The 18,624-nt window shown below is 40.7% G+C and overlaps 1 protein-coding gene and 1 pseudogene across 28 annotated transcripts in view; both read left to right on the top strand.

The window, feature by feature from the left end:
- Positions 1–18,624, top strand: part of BNC2 (basonuclin zinc finger protein 2) — a 461,168-nt gene that overhangs the window by 82,147 nt on the left and 360,397 nt on the right. The window lies entirely within an intron of this gene.
- Positions 12,781–13,276, top strand: LSM1P1 (LSM1 homolog, mRNA degradation associated pseudogene 1; annotated as a pseudogene).

The following is an 18,624-nucleotide window of genomic DNA, read 5'->3' as shown; positions in this document are numbered from 1 at the left end:
TGGAGTGCAGTGGCGTCATCTCGGCTCACTGCAAGCTCCGCCTCCTGGGTTCACGCCATTCTCCTGCCTTAGCCTCCCGAGTAGCTGGAATTACAGGAGCCTACCACCACGCCCGGCTAATTTTTTGTATTTTTGGTAGAGACGGGGTTTCACCATGTTAGCCAGGATGGTCTCGATCTCCTGACTTCATGATCTGCCCACCTTGGCCTCCCAGAGTGCTGGGATTACAGGCGTGAGCCACCGCGCCTGGCCCAGGAATGACCTCTTTATGGAGTGTCATCAGCCAAGTCAGTTCATCTGTGGTTACCCATTGTTTTTCACTGGTAACGTAAAAATATCTGCGGAGATAGCTATGGTTTGCTTGGTCCGTGGAACTGGAAGTCAGAGAGTTCAGTTGTCACAAATCCAGGCTGGAGATTCTCTTCTGTAAAGATCCTGGACATCCTTTCCACCAGAAGGAGTTTTCTGGAACTGTATGTTTGAGGGTACTACATTTGAACCAGTTTGAACCAAATGTGATGGAATTAGTGATGAAGGGACACAATATTACCCATATTTAGGATGTGGCTGACTCATCTTGTGTGCTATGATTCAGTGATTCTAATTCAGTAACGGTTCTGAAGCTGCATCCTGGCTAAGGAAATAATTCTGTGCTTGATTAATATTGTCTAAGGGCAGGGCGCGTTGGCTCATGCTTCTAATCCTAGCACTTTGGGACGCTGAACCAGGAGGATCACCTGAAGCAAGAAGTTCAAGACCAGCCCGGGCAACAAAGTGAGACCCTCGTCTCTACAAAGAAGAAAGAAAATATTATCTACCTTTTGCCTAGGAGGGGAAGCACTGTAGGAAGCGGTGGCCAGAGTAGTTACCCTCTTTAGGTGATTCACCACAAAAATACACTCAAAAGGTACCGGATATAGAATAAGCCCACTACCGTAACTTCAGCTAACAGATCATTTCATCATCAGGATAGCTCCATGATGTAAAGCATGTCATTCTTGTCTCTTACAAGTGAGGAAATTGAGGCACAAAGAGGTCAAGTAACTTGCCCAGTGACAGACAGCTAATTCTGGCAGAGCTGGGATTTAAACTCAGGCAGCGTGGCTCCAGAGTCCATACTCTTTCATGCACATCATGCTGTTTTCAGAATTCTAGAATGCTAGCACCAGGCCGACTTAGGAAAATTATTTTGTTTCCCCGTTCTTCATTTTACAGCTAATAGGAGTAAAGTCTAGAGAGGGCTCTGAGATGACTGACTCAAGATCACAGGTGATGGTGGATGGAGGGAGAACTAGTTTCCCCCTGCCCAGGGCTTCTGACACTCTTGGAAGTTTTGTACCTTTGTCTTGGTTGCTTGTCAGTTTCACATCAGTGAAGAGAGATGTTGCTGAAGTAGGCAGACTGGCAAAATTGGTGTTTAATTCCATTCTTTACTTTGGCCTCAGCTCTCTCTTGCCTGGGAATGTACTAATTGGCTCTCTTCCTGTCCCCTCTGCCATTTATTATTTTCAAGGGAGCCTGGAATCACTGTTACTCGTCTCTAGCCTGTCCTGTTTAATCACTGATTGTCAGATCTTTTGCTCTTTCCAGTCCCTTCCCACTAAGAAGTAGGAGAGGGGAGAACCTGCCCAACCACGTGGGTTTGGGGTGAGTTTTGGGATGGGGGAAGGGAATTAGACTGTTGCAGGGTGGGAGTTATTGTGCCGCAGATCAATGACCTTCCCTTGAGGATGCCACTCTTTGTGGTTTTGCTCTTTCTGCCCCACCTGTATCACAGTCATCCTGTGGGTTCCCAGCAGGACTCTGCCCCCCACATTTGGGGCAGGGCCTCTCCCCCTTTCTGCAGTTGGGGTTCAGAGCTAGAGAGGGAGTTCTGACGAAATTTGCTTGCCCCATGCATGCATTCTCATGGAACCCTGATTATATGGTATCCGGGACAGAAAAGGGTTTACATTTCATATCTGTTGTAACTTTATTTTGAAGAGCCACAGTTTGGGGGATAAAGTAATTTTCTTTAATATTTGTTGATCTTTCTCTTAAAGTCTCGTGTGTAAGCTTATTCAGGTAGAGACTGACTTTTTTTTTCCCTCCGTTTCTTCTGTACTGGGTCTTTGTATGTAAAATTCTAAGTCCTGTTCTAGTCTTCTTCCACCTACCCAGGAATGAAGTTGAATATTAATGCACCATGGTCACCATTCTCCAATGGCTCAGTCTTTCTCCACATTTTCTATAATTAAGACTGTCCTTCCCAATTTCAACTCAAAATACCTGAAAAGACTCCTTGTTTAGTTAAGAGAAAGCAAATTTCCCCAGGTAAGTTCCCATATGTTTTCTGTAAAAACTAGCGCACACTTTCTTTGTATTTTACCTCTGTCAAATGAGATTCTTAGAAGAGTAATCAGCCATTCTAAGCCACTCCACTCTTTTGACTTATATTTTCATGGGTAATTTTAACTCTTTGGGTGCTGTCCAGAAAGTTTACTGCTGCTTCTCACAAGGGAAGGTGTCTGTGGTTCCCGAGACTACCCTCTTCCTGCCTTCCTTTCAGCTTCCTCAGAGGACCAGCAAGCTCCAGTTCTTCTAAATAGGTGCACAGGCCCAGAGGTGGATTTTCCTTCAAGGCCCTGGGAAAAGGCCCCAGCAATGTGTTCACATTGCCATTTGTTTCTGTCAAGTTTTTGTGTATTTTTATTTTTGCATACTTTTTTTTTTTTTTGGAGACAGCATCTGGCTCTGTTGCCCAGGCTGGAGTGCAATGGTGCAAGCTTGGTTCACTGATTTACTCAAGAATGGATGCGCCCAGCCTGCATCCATTCTTTCGTAAATAAATACATAGGCTGGGCGTGGTGGCTCATCCCAGCACTTTGGGAGGCCGAGGCGGGCCGATCACCTGAGGTCAGGAGTTTGAGACCAGCCTGGCCAACATGGTGAAACCTCACCTCTACTAAAAAAAAAAAAAAAAAAAGCCGGGTGTAGTGGTACAGGACTGTAGTCCCAGCAACTCAGGAGGCTGAGGCAGGAGAATTGCTTGAACCTGGGAGGTGGAGGTTGCAGTTAGGCAATAACGAGCCACTGCACTCCGACCTGGGTGGCAGAGCAAAACTCTGTCTTAACTAAAAAAAAGAAATACATAGCAAGAATTTCCATCACCTTAAGTAGTCACCTGATCCCCTTACTTTCCCCGTGGCCTCAGTTTTTGCAGTGGTGATATCTGTGAAATGGAGAACAACTGTTCATCCACACTATTAAACAGGAGGTGAAGGCCCTCGCACAAACCTGCCCAGTGGGATACTTTAAGGCTTGGGCAGTCTTGTCTTGCACTGCAATGAGAGCATAAATGTGGACACATATTAACCTCGCCTAGTGGGTAGTTGGGTTCAGCACAGGTGGGTTTAAAGTTCCCGTTCTTTTCTACAAAGTGCAAACACATTCCCTTTCCAAAAGGTACACTGGAAGCTGTCTTTATAAAATGCTTTGTAGCATAAGCACATACAGAGAATACTGTATTCATACTGTATTAATCAGCCTCTGTAAGTGTCCATTCTCTGGGTCTCACGGGCTTAAAAACTTGAATGATCGTCATCTTATTTCTTCTTCCACTCTTGTCATTTACCAAGTCCTGGAAGTAGATTGTTTTAGTTTGCATTGCCTTCTGGAACAGTCCTCTCCTTAAAAGAAAAAGTCTCATTATTATTGCTCCGCAGTTGGAGGGCAGGGGAGTGGTTTATACTGTGAGTTCACATCACTCTTTTAACTCCTTTTCATTCCCACTGACCTACTATAGGCTTGTTGCAGTACCTGCCCACTTTAACTTTAGACTTTCTCTAGGATACTCTAGTGATTGAGATTGGAGGCTTTTAAAAACACCTCTGACTTTGCCAGTGCTCAGCCCCAAAACTTCATTTATTGCAGACTCTCTGTATTCAGAGTAAGCCCTTACCTCTGTGCTCAGTATCCCTCCTTGAGTGTAGGCTTGCTTACCTTTCTACCTCCATCTCTTTCTGACACTCTTTTGATATTGTGTCCTATCCATATTGTTTCCCAGGAATACCTCTTATTTTGCAGTCTTTTTCTTAAGGCACTTATTACTTTGTCCCTTGTGGGACAATTATTTGTACATTTGTATAGCGCTCCAAACTAGATTTAGAAATTCTTGAAAATACTTTATTTACTTTTAGTAGTGGTAGTATAGTAGTAGTAGTGGTAAATAGTTAAAAAAGTAGCACCAGACTACTGCAAAGACCTTAGGGCAACATCCCCTGAATACTCTGAACCCTAATTATCTGTTTGCACAGCTGTCTTCCCTGCTACATTGTGAGCAACTCCAGGGCTGGGACTGTGCTCCCAGAATCTCCAGTGCTACAGCAGTGTGGCAGGAAAGTCTTTTTGACTAAGAAGATAGTCATGTTTGTTTCTTATTCATGTGATGCTTTCCTCCATTCCTTGAATAGGAATTTTTTTTCTTGTTTTAAGCAGAAATTTTGCCTTTTTCCCAAATTCACTGGAAAAATCGGATGCTATTCCACTGTTAATTGAGGTGTCACTAATTACTTTGCTTGAAATTTCAATTATTCTAAAATCTTCCAACATTTTCATATATGTATCGATATTTTAAAAATATAAAAGAATTTTAAAACTTACATTTGGAAAATTTACCAATACAGTTTTGGCTAATTGGGTTGTCAGTTAGCCAAAGGTTAGGGATGATTGATCTAGTTTAAATATAGCTTTGCGATTTCATTGAAATTACTTAAGAAAAAATATTTCTAGACAGCATGGAAGAAAGGTGAATATAATAGTGGTTTAAATGAAGTAGAGGTTTAATTTGTGAATTAATTTTTGAGATTGTTATAGAGATACTGTGATCAAGTGCTAAGTCAATAATGTAAAGCAGTGCATATCATTTGAAGCTGTTCCCAAATATATCTTAAAGCTAAATCAATATTAAAACTGTCCTAAATAGTAAAATTGTTTAATCATTAGACAACCTGAGCTTTATGTAAATTTGTAGACTCTTGAAACTTGTCGTATGCAGAAGCGTAAGCGTAGCTATAACATAAGCATAAACCATTGTGATTTGCATAATTTATCTCTTCAGCATAAATATTGTACTTGTAGAGTAACATTTTTGTCCTGGAAATCAGATTTTGGTTGTCTGAGTATTTGTGGGACTGGAGGAGGTTTTAGGTTTATGTTTGTGTTTAGATTAAATTTGAATGGTGAGTTAAGATTTATGGTGAGCAGTGTGCAGAATGTTTTATTTACTTTTTCAAAGCTTATGAATAAAAGCAACATCTGAATCTGATCTTTGGGAACCAAGTTCAGGAAATGTGGTATAATCTATTTTAATTGTCTCCCTTAATTTCAACTTACTTCTGTTTATTTGCAAATTGTGTATTTAAGACATTAACATATTTAATACCCTGTTATTGGATATATTTAACTTTCTACTAGCTTCATGCTTTCAGAGTTTTGAACTCTGAAAACACAAGCAGCATTAAGACCTGTCTTTTGCTTAAAGTACTGAGTGATTACACTCCGATGTTTTCATTATATGAAACACCCCTGCTTTACTTCAGAGTAAATGCTTCTAAGAATTAGGCATGCCTAGCTTCTAAGGTAGACTATTCACTTACTCACTCATTCATTAATACATTCACTTTTTCCAAAAATGAATATTCCATGTTCATACTATGTGCTAGGAATGATAGTGGATATAGTAGTGAACAAAAGGTAGACGTTTCTGGCCTTCAGAGTATCTTAGAGTCTGGTAGGGGAGGAGAATATGAAACCAGGCAACCACAGTACCACGTACTATGATAAATGGTGTGGAACCCCTAAGCCCAGAGTTCCATCGGCACATATGTGAGTGGTGCCCAAAGTCTTCCTGGAGGAAGTGACACCTCTGCCTCTTTATTCTTCAGAGTCAGCCAGTGGAAGGGGTCTAGGAAGGGTTGCTACAAATGCTTCTGGTACAAAGAACAACATTGGTAAAAGTCCAGAGAAAATAGAGAAGTCAGCACATTAGACTAGTATGTAAAAACTTTAGGCAACTAGAACTCAAATAACTAGAACTCTCATTTTGGCTCAGAAAAATTTTCCTCTGCATTTTACTTGATGAGGAGATGAAAAATGACTACAAACTTATTGATTTCTTACCCCGATAGAAATACTCATTTATTCTAAAAAAATTTAATTATACAAAATTATTATTATTATTATCATTATTATTATTTTTTTGAGACAGAGTCTTGCTCTGTCACCAGGCTGGAGTGCAGTGGCACAATCTCGGCTGACTGAAACCTCTGCCTCCTGGGTCCCAGCAATTCTTCTGCCTCAGCCTCCCGAGTAGCTGGGACTACAGGTGCACGCCACCACGTCCAGATAATTTTTGTATTTTTAGTAGAGATGGGGTTTCCTCATGTTGGCCAGGCTGGTCTCGATATCCTGAGCTCGTGATCCGCCCCCCTCGGCCTCCCAAAGTGTTGAGATTACAGGCATGAGCCACCACGCCCAGCCTATACAAAATTATTAAAAATTGAAAGTCATAATAATATTATATAGATAATCTTACTTGTCATTTTGTAAATATCCTTACCAGTTTTCTCCTTTCCATCTTTGGTTTTATAAAATTGAGATGATATCAAATATGCTATTTTGTAACTGATATTTTACAGTTAACATAAAAAGCACATTGTGTTCATATCATTGGAAGTATTTGTAAAATATCAATTTTAATGGCTGTATAATATTCTATCATCAACTATTATTCATTTATACATCATTTATTATATATTTTCCAATATACTTGTATTGGAAAAGTAGATTGTTTCTAACTTCTTGTTGTTTTAAAAATTCTGCCACGAATGTGTTTATATTGAAACATTTAATTAAATCTTTCATATTTCCTTTCAGCACTTTGGGAGGCCAGGGCGGGCAGATTGCCTGAGCTTAGGAGTTCGCGACCAGCATGGGCAACACAACGAAACCCCGTCTCTACTAAAATACAAAAAACTAGCTGTGCCTGGCGGCTTGCGCCTGTAGTCCCAGCTGCTCGGGTGGCTGAGGCAGGAGAATTGCTTGAACCTGGTAGGTGGAGGTTGCAGTGAGCCACGATTGCGCCACTGCACTCCAGCCTGGGCAACAGAGCGAGACTCCATCTTAAAAAAATATACATAATAATAATAATAAAGTTATAGCCTTTCTTCTGTGCCCCTGCTTTTTTTTGTAGGTATGCATTGTCTGCCACCTGCCTCCAATATCAGTCCAGCCCTGATCTTCAGACCTTTGGTGCAAATTTGAAAATGAATCTTTTTTGTATCTGTTCAAGTAAAAGCGTATCAGCTGAACAAAATGTTACGTGGCTGGACACAAAACTGAAGGGTAATGTCGTTTTGCATTAATAAAAACATGAAACAATTAGATCCCATTTTTTTAGAGTGCCCACTCTAAAAAAAAGAAGTCCCTGGATAAAGCGTTTTATCTGGAGATAGCTTCTCTCTCTCTTTTTTTTTCAAACAAAGGAATTATATCTTATAGAGAATTTTCTTTAAGTGCATGATTAAGTACTCTTTTTGGTTAGTGAATTGGAATAGATCTGTTATTAAATAAATACCTCTGTAGAGTTAAGAATTAAAAGAAAACTGGACTTGTTTCTTAGGTAAAGTAAACATTTTTTTTCTTAAAGATGTCAAGGATGTTTCCCACATAGCAAGGTATTCTATCTTAATACTAGAAGCCACTTGGTTTACAGGGGTTTTATTTTTTGCAGATTTTTTGCTCTTCTGGGGCTGAAGTCCTGTTGTTTTCATCTGTTTATCCTGTGTTTGCCTTACTGTCCAGTACATCATAGATAACCAATAAGTGTTAAAAAAGCCCAATACTTTTTAAAAAGCTTTATTGAAATGTAATTCCCATAATATACAATTCACCTACTTAAGATTTTTTTTTTTTAAGGCGGAGTCTTGCCCTGTCGCCAGGCTGGAGTGTAGTGGTGTGATCTCGGCTCACTGCAGCCTCCGCCTCCTGGGTTCAGGCGATTCCCTTGCCTCAGTCTCCCGAGTAGCTGGGACTACAGGCGCCCGCCACTACGCCCAGATAATTTTTGTATTTTTAGTAGAGACGGGGTTTCCCCATGTTGGCCAGGATGGTCTTGAGCTCCTGACCTCATGATCTGCCAGCCTCGGCCTCCCACAGTGCTGGGATTACAGGCGTGAGCCACCGAGCCCAGCCAAGATGTTTTTATTAGTTTCAGTAGTTTTTTTTTGTTTTTTTTTTTTTTTTTTTTTGAAACGAAGTCTTGCTCTGTCACCCAGGCTGGAGTGCAGTGGCGCGATCTCGGCTCACTGCAAGCTCCGCCTCCCAGGTTCGCGCCATTCTCCTACCTCAGCCTCCCTAGTAGCTGGGACTACAGGCACCCGCCACCGCGCCCGGCTAATTTTTTGTATTTTTAGTAGAGATGGGGTTTCACCATGTTAGCCAGGATGGTCTCGATCTGCTGACCTTGTGATCCGCCCGCCTCGGCCTCCCAAAGTGCTGGGATCACAGGCGTGAGCCACCACGCCCGGCCAGTTTCAGTAGTTTTTAGTATATTGTCTAACTATCACTACATTCAATTTTAAACCGTTTTTATTACCTCAGAAAAGAAACCCGTACCCTTTAGCTTTCACCTTCCTGGCCCCCCCACAACACTGCCATTCCTCCAGCCATAGGCAGCCACCATAATCTACTTTTTCTCTATGGATTGCCTCTTCTGGACATTTCATACAAATGGAATTATACTATATGTGGTACTTTGTAACTGGCTTCTTTTTATATTTTCAAGGTTCATCCATGTTGTGCCATATATCAATATTTTATTATTTTCTTTGCCTCTTAATATTTCATTGTATGGATAGGTCACAGTTTTATTTATCCATCAGTTGGTCAATCAAATACTTTTAAATATGTAAATCAGCTTGGGTGGTTGTGCCTTATAAAGGCAAAAATGAAGGTAGAACTGAAGTTGTGATATCCTAAATTGGAAATGCCTTCAGAGCTTGTTAGTCGTTAAGGTATATATAAGTATGTTTAGAATTAAGCTTATATGTTGTTGGGTTTAAGATAATAGCACATCAATCAGTAGGATCTTGTCAGTTTTACCTCTTGGATACTTCTTAAATCTGCTTTCTTCTACTTACCTCTGGTAACTATCTAATCAAAATCTTTTTTTTTTTTTTTTTTGAGAGAGGGTCTCTCTGTCACGCAGGCTGGAGTGCAGTAGTGTGATACTGGCTCACTGCAGCCTCCACCTTCTGGGCTCAAGCTGTCCTCCTACCTCAGCCTCCTTAGTAGCTGGAATTACAGGTGCACGCCACCATGCTTGGCTGGTTTTTTTTTCTTTTCTTTTCTTTTTTTTTTTTTTTTTTTTACAATTTTTGTAGAGATGGAGTAACCTAGGTTGGTCTTGAACTCCTGACCGCAAGCAATCAACCATCCTTGGCCTCCCAAAGTACTGGGATTACAGGCAGGAGTCTGACATCTAATTAACATCTTTTGTTTGAACATTGCATTACCACTGCCATCCCCAAAAGAAGGCAAAAGGAGCATTTCTAAAAATATCGTTTTATGTTAGGGGTCAGAAGTCTTTAACATAACCTGCTTGGCTGCCTTCACATCAGACCCTTGCTGCCTTTCCCCTTCCTCTGCCCTCCTATTCTTTAATACTTGTTTTGTATTTAACAGAGGATAATGGAGTCCTTTCTGAAGTTGTTTGGGCATCTGAGATTTCAGCTTATACCACTTTGAGAACTATGCATTAAGGATCTCGTTTGAAGCCTTGTGCAGTGGAAAGAGCTCAGGCTTGGAAGTCTGGTAAACTAGGTATAGGCTCTGCGGTCCAATGTGCACTAGAAGTGTGCTTGTTCCTTTTGAGCCTTTTATCTGCAAAATACAGATGCTACCTTGCAAGTTGTTGTGAAAGAGAAATAATGTGAAAGTATCTGACACATAATATGTGCTTAATAGATTGTCCTTTCTGTTTCTTTTTTGGATTATTGTTTTGAATGAAGTGGCTTAGGTCATCATGTTTTTTTGGCTGAAAAGAAGGATTTATATATATTATGATCATTGTTGGTAGTTTGGGGGTTTTTTCTTCCAAAGTTTGTGTCTTTGTTTCAGAATCCTGTTTTCATGAAGACTCTGGAATTTTGTCACTGCTCTAATACCTCTGCCAGGCAGCAGCACTCCTTTGGGTCTCTGCCAATAGAGAACATCATTTATTGCCTTAAAAAGAAAGTATTTGTGTGTATGTATCTTTACAATATCCTCATTATGAGAGTAATTGTAGTATTTGTGTGTATGTATCTTTACAGTTTCCTCATTATGAGAGTCATTGTTTTTCATTTATAAAATAGGAAAATGCAGAAAATAGAGAAAAGGGGAGGAGAAAATAAAATTCATTTGCCATTTAGTCACCTACTGTGGCCATTCTAGTTTATACTTTTCTAGTCTTTATTCTATACACATCTACATACATATATGTTAGTGTGGCTTTGGAAGTAGAAGTTAGATAATAGTATGTGTTTTGTTTAATTGCTGTTTTCTCATTGCCAGTATAGATATTTTCAGTGTTTAGTAACATGGAATGTATATAATTTTTTTCCGGTCTCAGAGAATTCCATTGTATGGGAGTACCATACTTATTGTCACCACTTCTCTTTGGGAGGACATTTAGGTTGTATCCAATTTTTTGTTATTATAAACAGTGCTTGCTTTGATTTTACAGTCATGCGTGATTCTGACATGCTTTTTACATCCTAACAGTTCTTTTTTTTTTTTTTTTTGAGATGGAGTCTTGCCCTGTCGCCAAGGCTGGAATGCAGTGGTGCAATCTCCGCTCACTGCAAGCTCCGCCTCCCGGGTTCACGTCATTCTCTTGCCTCAGCCTCCCGAGTAGCTGGGACTACAGGCACCCGCCACCATGCCTGGTTAATTTTTTTGTATTTTTAGTGGAGACGGGGTTTCACTGTGTAAGCCAGGATGGTCTCGATCTCCTGACCTCGTGATCTGCCTGCCTCGGCCTCCTAAAGTGCTGGGATTACAGGCGTGAGCCACCGTGTCCAGCCCCTAACAGTTCTTATGAAATAATTTCCCTGAGGTTTGATGATAAATTCAATTCAAATTTGCTCCTCATGTTTTTCACAGGTCTTTTGAATATTACAACTCATGTGGCAGAATGTCCCTGTTCTCCTTTTTGCTCTTCATCTGGTACTAGTTTTCTAATGTGTTCATACCCCCACATCCATTTACCTTGGCTAAGACTCTTCTTGCCTTTGTCTGCCCCAAACCACTGTCCTATCGTTTATTTATTTATTTATTTACTTTTATTTTTTAATTTATTAATTAATTATTTTTTTTGAGACAGGAGTCTCACTCTGTCGCCCAGGCTGGAGTGTAGTGGCGCCATCTCGGCTCACTGCAACCTCCGCCTCCTAGGTTCAAGTGATTCTCTTGCCTCAACCTACTGAGTAGCTGGGATTACAGGCGTGTGCCACCATGCCCAGCTAATTTTTGTTTTTTTAGTAGAGATGGGGTTTTGCCATGTTGACCAGGCTGGTCTCGAACTCCTGACCTCAGGTGATCCGCCCACCTTGGACTCCCAAAGTGCTGGGATTACAGATGTGAGCCACCACGCCTGGCTGCCACTGTCCTATCTTTTAAAGAATGATTCCTTCATATTCGTTTCTTTCAATTGACCCTTATTATTAACTTCATTAATTTGTTTCCTTCGTGTTGCCCATCATATCACCTCAAATTTGGAATTACTTAAGTGTTTAATTTTTTAAATTATTCTGAAAGAGAGTGCTTGCTTTCTTTCACATAACAGAATTAGTGGAGTGGTTTGTATTATGCATTACAATTAAAATTACGTCTTTACAATTAATTGGCTGTTGCTCTAAATTGGGATATTTCTGAAGTTATTTTAAATCCAGGACTGTTTTTCTTTCCTTTGTGTCTGTTTCTTGCCTACAGCTAGTTGATTATATCCTTAAGGAGTACTAGCCATTTTAAATAATTTTAATCTGAATTTAAATAAATCAAGGTGGCTGGGCGCTGTGGGTCACCCCTGTAATCCTAGCACTTTTGGAGGCTGAGGTGGGCAGCTTGCCTGAGCTCAGAGGTTCGAGACCAGCCTGGGCAACATGGTGAAACCCCGTCTCTACTAAAAATACAAAAATAGCAGGGCGTGGTGGTGGGCTCCTGTAATCCCAGCTACTTGGGAGACTGAGAGAGGAGAATCGCTTGAACCCAGGAGGCGAAGGTTGCAGTGAGCCCGAGATGGTTCCATTGCACTCCAGCCTGGGCGACAAGAGCGAAACTCCCTCTTAAAAAAATATGAATAAGTAAATCATGGTGTGTATTCTAAAGCCATAGTTATAAACTTGAGGGGTAGGTAATACGGAGGAGTTTCCTGCAGGTCCCCGTGGCTGAAAGTCAGCGTAGAAGTGCCTGACCTGGTCGGGGTTCCACTTCTGGTCTCAGTCCTGCTGAGGCAGCAGCTGCGTTGGTCAGGTAGGTTTTGGTTTTGGACACAGTGGCCCACCGCCGCTGTACATTGCAGGATTATTTCAGTTCAAAATGAACTGATTGCTGAGCTCCTCTGCAGCCTTCGTGTTGCAAGGACTACAGTTTGTGGAGGCCCGGCACCACCAGCCTCATTGAGGACATTGACAAAAAATACTTGGTCCTGCTTCAAGATGGAAGGACACTTAATAGACTTAAGAAGTATTGATCAATTTGGACTTGGAAAATGAGAATGACACACCCCTCCAGCAAGTATCCATTGAAGAAATCCTAGAAGACCAAAGCGTGGACCAGCAGACCAGGCTGGAAGTAGAGGAACTGAAAGTTCAGGCCCACTGGGATCAAGGTCTTTCCATTCCTTGAGCAGATACTCTTGATGAGTATTAAGTCCTCTGCTCAGAAGCTATTGCTCTTGAAGAGTAAGGGCTGTCACTGAATGAAACTGATACCCTGGTTACCTCACACATTTGACCAGGGACTGTAGTGTTTCTGAAAAATCATTTTTAGTTTTAATTCTAGCACACATACAACATGAAGAAATCATGGGAGTTTTTTTTTTTTTAATAACGAAATCAGTGTTTAAGGAAACAGTGGTATGGACTCCTTCACTGTGGAGCCAGCAGCTACTTCTGTATATTGCTCTTCTTATCCCAAATTAGAGTTTATAGGGGACATTCTTCATTTACTTATAAATAAAATATAAATCTCAAAAGATGCCATGAATCTCAAAAAGCGATTAAACTTGAGCATGCATCAGTATCACTTGCTTGTCTTGTGTAATCACAGATTGCTGGGCCCCTACCCCCAGGTCTTTTGATTCTGTAGTGGTCAGGGTCTGATAATTTGCATTCCTGGCAAGTTCCTGGATGATGCTGTTGCTGCTACTTGTGAGACACTACTTTGAAAACAACTGTTCTAAAGGAACCTAGAAATAATGTTTGCATTATCTGTATTCCTTGTAATTACATGTATTTTTTCTCTTTACTGTTGTACATGACAGATATAACTGAGCATATTTTAGTAAAAGCAAAAACAAATAAAAAACGCTTCATTGGCAAAATACAAGAGGGTCACTGGATAACAGATATACAGTCTTTTGTGGGATAGGCCAGCAGATAAGGCATCCAGAGGCTTAAAGCACTCAGGGTCCTGGGTTGTTCAGCCCAAAACAGGTTTCCTTAAATATTTTGTAGCCTTAGTTTTTTTGTAGAAAAATGGCGACTGCTACCAGATCTCTCTGGACCCTTTAACTCCTAAATCTGTAGTCAGATATTCAGTATGTTTAAACAGGCTTACAATACTGCAAATATCTTGATTAAGAAATGCTTGTATGTTTTTAGTAAATGTTCAGAGTAATTTAATAAAAGCCTTATTTGTAAGTTTTATCACAATGGAGATTTAAAAGTTGGATGAGGAAATAAACATTGAAATCATAGATATTCCAAATGTCTTTCGAAGCCTGAGCTACAGCACAAGCTATGGTCTGTATGTCAGGCCTGATAGAATGTAAGGTTGAGCCCAGAAAAAAGGAGGTGGTTACAGAAATTTTTAAATGGAATCGAAACTGTCATTGGATGCATTTGGTTCATCAGATCCAGATTCAGTTCGATGTGCAGTTCTGGTTCCTTATCAGATGTAACGAATAGTAGTTGTACTTATTAGTATACTGGCAATTTAGGCCGGACACGGTGGCTCACGACTGTAATCCCAGCACTTTGGGAGGCTGAGGTGGGGCCGATCACTCGAGGTCAGGCGTTCGAGACCAGCCTGGCCAATATGGTGAAACCCTGTCTCTACTAAAAATAAAAAAATTAGCTGGGTGTGGTGGCGGGTACCTGTAATCTCACCTACTTGGGAGGATAAGGCATGAGACTCCCTTGAGCCTGGGAGACAAAGGTTGCAGTGATCTGAGATTGTGACGCTGTACTCCAGCCTGGGCAATAGAGTGAGACTGTGTCTTTAAAAACAAAACAAAACAAAACAAAACAAAAAAACATACTGTCAATTTGGACCTTTGGGCTTGAAGTTTTTTCTATATGACAGCTGAGATTGGGGGCGTGGGATAATACCATCTGCAACTTGTTGGCAAGCACATTATTTGTATTCAAATAGAAAGGACGTACTGTTAGAAAATGCGCAAAGGGAAAAAGGCTTTTGTAGAGGTCATTTGGCATGTAGGTGTATGAAAGGTGAGGCTACAGCAACACCCAGCAGCTGATAAGACCATACACAGTGTAAGATGAACGGAAAGTTTCCTCCAAGCACCTTGGGCTCTCATGTTAAGACTTGGTAAAAAGGTTGCTGATGCTTCATTTACTGTAGCGACAAGCCCCTTTATCTCAGCGGCTGTCAATGTGAGTTGGAATTTCACATCTTTTTAGGAAGTCTTTTGGACCATTTTAAAATTATTATTATTGCACTGTCCCTCACCTTTTTTTTTTTTTTTTCTGATTGCATGACGTGTAGTCCTCTTTTCTTGTCAGCAATTAGGAGAAAAATCTCAACAGAACGAGAAAACCTTGTGACGCTGAAAAGATTTGCCTGAAGTGTTCCATGTAAGCAGTGGGAATGGACATACACTGAAAGAGAGAGGGGAAAAAAGGCTTTTTGTTGAGAGTGACAGGCAGGCAGGATGAGCAAAGTTTAACCTAAATCCTTTCATTGATATTGCAAAGTCATAAGCCTTCATATGACACTGCCACATTCAACTCACTGTATGATCTGGAGTTCAGTAGCTTGTACCATAGTGCATGTGTGTGTACAGTGCAAACATTTTATGAACTGCAGTGTCTGATCCATCCGTCTGTCTGGGCAAGAGTGTCCCTTGATAGTAAAAAGAACAGCAATCAGGACAGAATTGGTCAATGCGGCATGTCTAATAGTGGGAAGATATTTGAAGGACTCACTATAGACACAGTAGTCTCTCTAAATAGCCTCTTTGCACCCGGAGTCTTATTGCAAACAGGTTCATTAAGGAGAGACATTCTGACACACAGCATCACAGTAATGAAAGTAGCTCTGTTTTTCTAATATTGTATCTTGCCACTTCAGTTAGGCTGCTAGTACAAGATTTCCCTTGTGTTGTTGTATGTTTCTCCAGAAAAAGAATCAGTCTTCATAGAATATACAATTATTTTGTACGGGAATGTATAACTCCTACCTAAGATCCAGTCTTCCCTGTTTATGTGCACTAGTGCAAAAATAATTGGCAAACACATCCTCCAGACCAAAAGATTCCAGCACCTTCAATTTGTTGGGCTTGAAGACGTTGAACCAGTTATAATAAACTTTAAAAAAATGTGTAATGTTCAAAATGGATTTGTGATCAATCATAAAAGACAAAAAAAAATTAGTACAGTTTCCCATGAGGTGTGAGGTTTTTTTTCCCTAGGTTTTAGCCAACTTCATATAGTATCAGTTCAAAGAGGGGGAAAATGCAAAAGGTTTTCATCTACTAAGCTTTACATATAACTACTATATGATGACTTAAGCTATTGGATTTTCTGCCTGTTAATGTACAGCGTGAACATTATGAACAAGGAAAAAAATGTTATATTGGTTTAAAAGTGGATATGGAAAATTTAATGTGCTCAAGTGGGAACAATGGCATATTAAAAAAAAACACTCATGACACAGATCTAATAATTCACTTGCCCCTGTAGGAGAAGGGTATCAACTCTGATACTGGCTCACAGTTTATTTTTATATACACCCCTGGTCCCTGCAGTATACCCCGTGTGTGGGTTCCAGAGAAAAGAAAGAAAATAACCTGTAGGGAAATCAGCCTGGAAACCTTTCATTAAATACATTGTACTTTGTATTGTGTCTTTCACAGACTCTTCAAGAAATAAAGGAAAAACCTGTTATCAGTCTGCATGTGTAAAATATTGTATTTGAATACTATCATTTGTTTTAAGATTAAGGCTGAGGCTGCAGACATATTAGTTATTATTCACTTACATCTGGTAGATAATGCAACAGGGATTTAAAAATTCTTTTTCCATTTATAGTCCCTGCCATCCTCCCCCCACCATGAACTGTAAAGATACTACTTTAACTTAAAACTGTGCTTGCTAAAATATTTCAATGTTGGAAATGTTGCCTCTTTATAGAGGATTAGGGTTGTGAGGGTAATAAAATCAGTCTTGAATTTCTTGGCGGAGTTTATCTGTCATTTAGCAAAAGATGCCTTTCTAGGGAAAATTGAAGAAAGTGTTAAATACATTCTTTTATGAGAAAAAATATAAATGGTAAGAGTGTAACTGTGAATAGTGACACCTTTATCAAGTTGAATGTCCTTTGGAGTGAGGCTTTGTCTTGTCATTATAGTTCATGTATTGCTGTTGGTGGGCTTTTAAAATCTATAAACGTCTTATCTTTTTTGCTGACTATTCATGCAGGATATGCTAGGCAAGCCAACTGTGACACATACTCTGCCTATACTTGTAGCTGCCTCTTGGATGAAAATGAACACATATCTTAAAACCAAACCTTGGGTGCCATATAGCAGTATTTAATGAACTTCTGGGATTGCAGACAGTAAGAGCCAAGTTTTGATCTCACATACCTGGGAACACATTGTCCTACACAATCTGTTGAAAGATTTATTATTTCTGAAGTAGCTTGTGTTAAAAACCTTGTTTTAAGTATAGAGGGTTGTAAGCCTATCAGTCTCAGCAAATTGATACCTTTTTTCACGTCTGTTAGACTCAGTGCCACCTCTTGTCCTGAGGACAGATATAGCACATTCCACTCCATATTAGGTATCCTTGCTAAGAATTCTTTTTTTGGGGGACAGAGTCTCGCTCTGTCACCCAGGCTGGAGAGCAGTAGTGTGATCTTGGCTCGCTGCAACCTCTGTCTCCTGGGTTCAAGCGATTCTTGTGCCTTAGCCTCCTGAGTAGCTGGGATTACAGGCATGCGGCACCATGCTCAGCTAATTTTGTATTTTTAGTAGAGAGGGGTTTCGCCATGTTGGCCAGGCTGGTCATGAACGCCTGGCCTCAAGTAATCCACCTGCCTCGGACTCCCAAACTGCTGGGATTATAGGCGTGAGCCACCGAGCCCAGCCCTTTTCTTTTCTTTTTGTGACAGGGTCTTGCTTTGTCGCTGAGGCTGGAGTGCAGTGGCATGATCTCGCTATCTTGGCTCACTGCAGCCTTCACCTCCTGGGGTTCAAGCGATTCTCCCACCTCAGCCCCTGAGTAGCTGGCTCTACAGGCGTGCACTACCATGCCTGGCTAATTTTTGTATTTTTTGTAGAGGTGGGGTTTTACCATGTTGCCCATGCTGGAAAAAAAAAAAAAATTCTTGAATGACTTGAGGGTAGGGTTTTTGAAAAATAGAGGTGTGCTGTTAGATGTAGAACTTCTCAGGTGAAACAGCCCCTGGGTGATTGGTTACCATGGTCATTGTGGGTAAACTCCTGATTTGGAAGTAGTTGCTCCAGTATTCATATGGGTCATTTTGGTTCCTTTCTGGCTTCAGAAGCCTGTCAATTGAGTTCTTAAGCCAAAGACCAAGTTAATTTAGAGATGTCGATGTCAGTAATTTACCTTCTGATTGTCAGTGAATTATTTAAGAAGTATCTTACTATTTTTCTAAGGTGAATGAGCTTTGGGGAGAGGTTTTTCATAACCACCATCTCTGTTTTACCTGAATAGAAAGAGCACAATCAGCCCATATCTGTGACTACACAGGGTTGGCCCTGATCTTAGGGTGGCAGTGGATGAGCATCCACTGTCAACTCTCCTGTATCTCTGGGTGTTCAGTGCCTCGCATTCTGAGATTTGGCCCATACCTTCCAGGTTAGCATTGAGCCATGGGACTATGTTAGTTTCCTCTGCTGTTGAACTGCTTTAGGAAGAAAAGACCTCCTTGTTTCTGGCGGTGACTGCTGGGCCTTACATTCATTTTGGGTCAAGTAATTCATTGAGCAAAACCGTAGGCTGTAGGTTAGGTATACAGCTTCTCCTCCCCATAGGGTTTGTGTAAATTTCCCAAGGCCTGGGAAATTTCTCTGTAATTCCGGAGGGCTCCACTTATCCTGGAGCACCCACT

The sequence above is a fragment of the Homo sapiens genome, chromosome 9 (genome assembly GCF_000001405.40).
Source record: "Homo sapiens chromosome 9, GRCh38.p14 Primary Assembly".
In the NCBI taxonomy this organism is placed as follows: Eukaryota; Metazoa; Chordata; class Mammalia; order Primates; family Hominidae; genus Homo; species Homo sapiens.
Note: the sequence above shows the minus strand (reverse complement) of the source record. Positions and strands in the feature narration are given on the sequence as shown.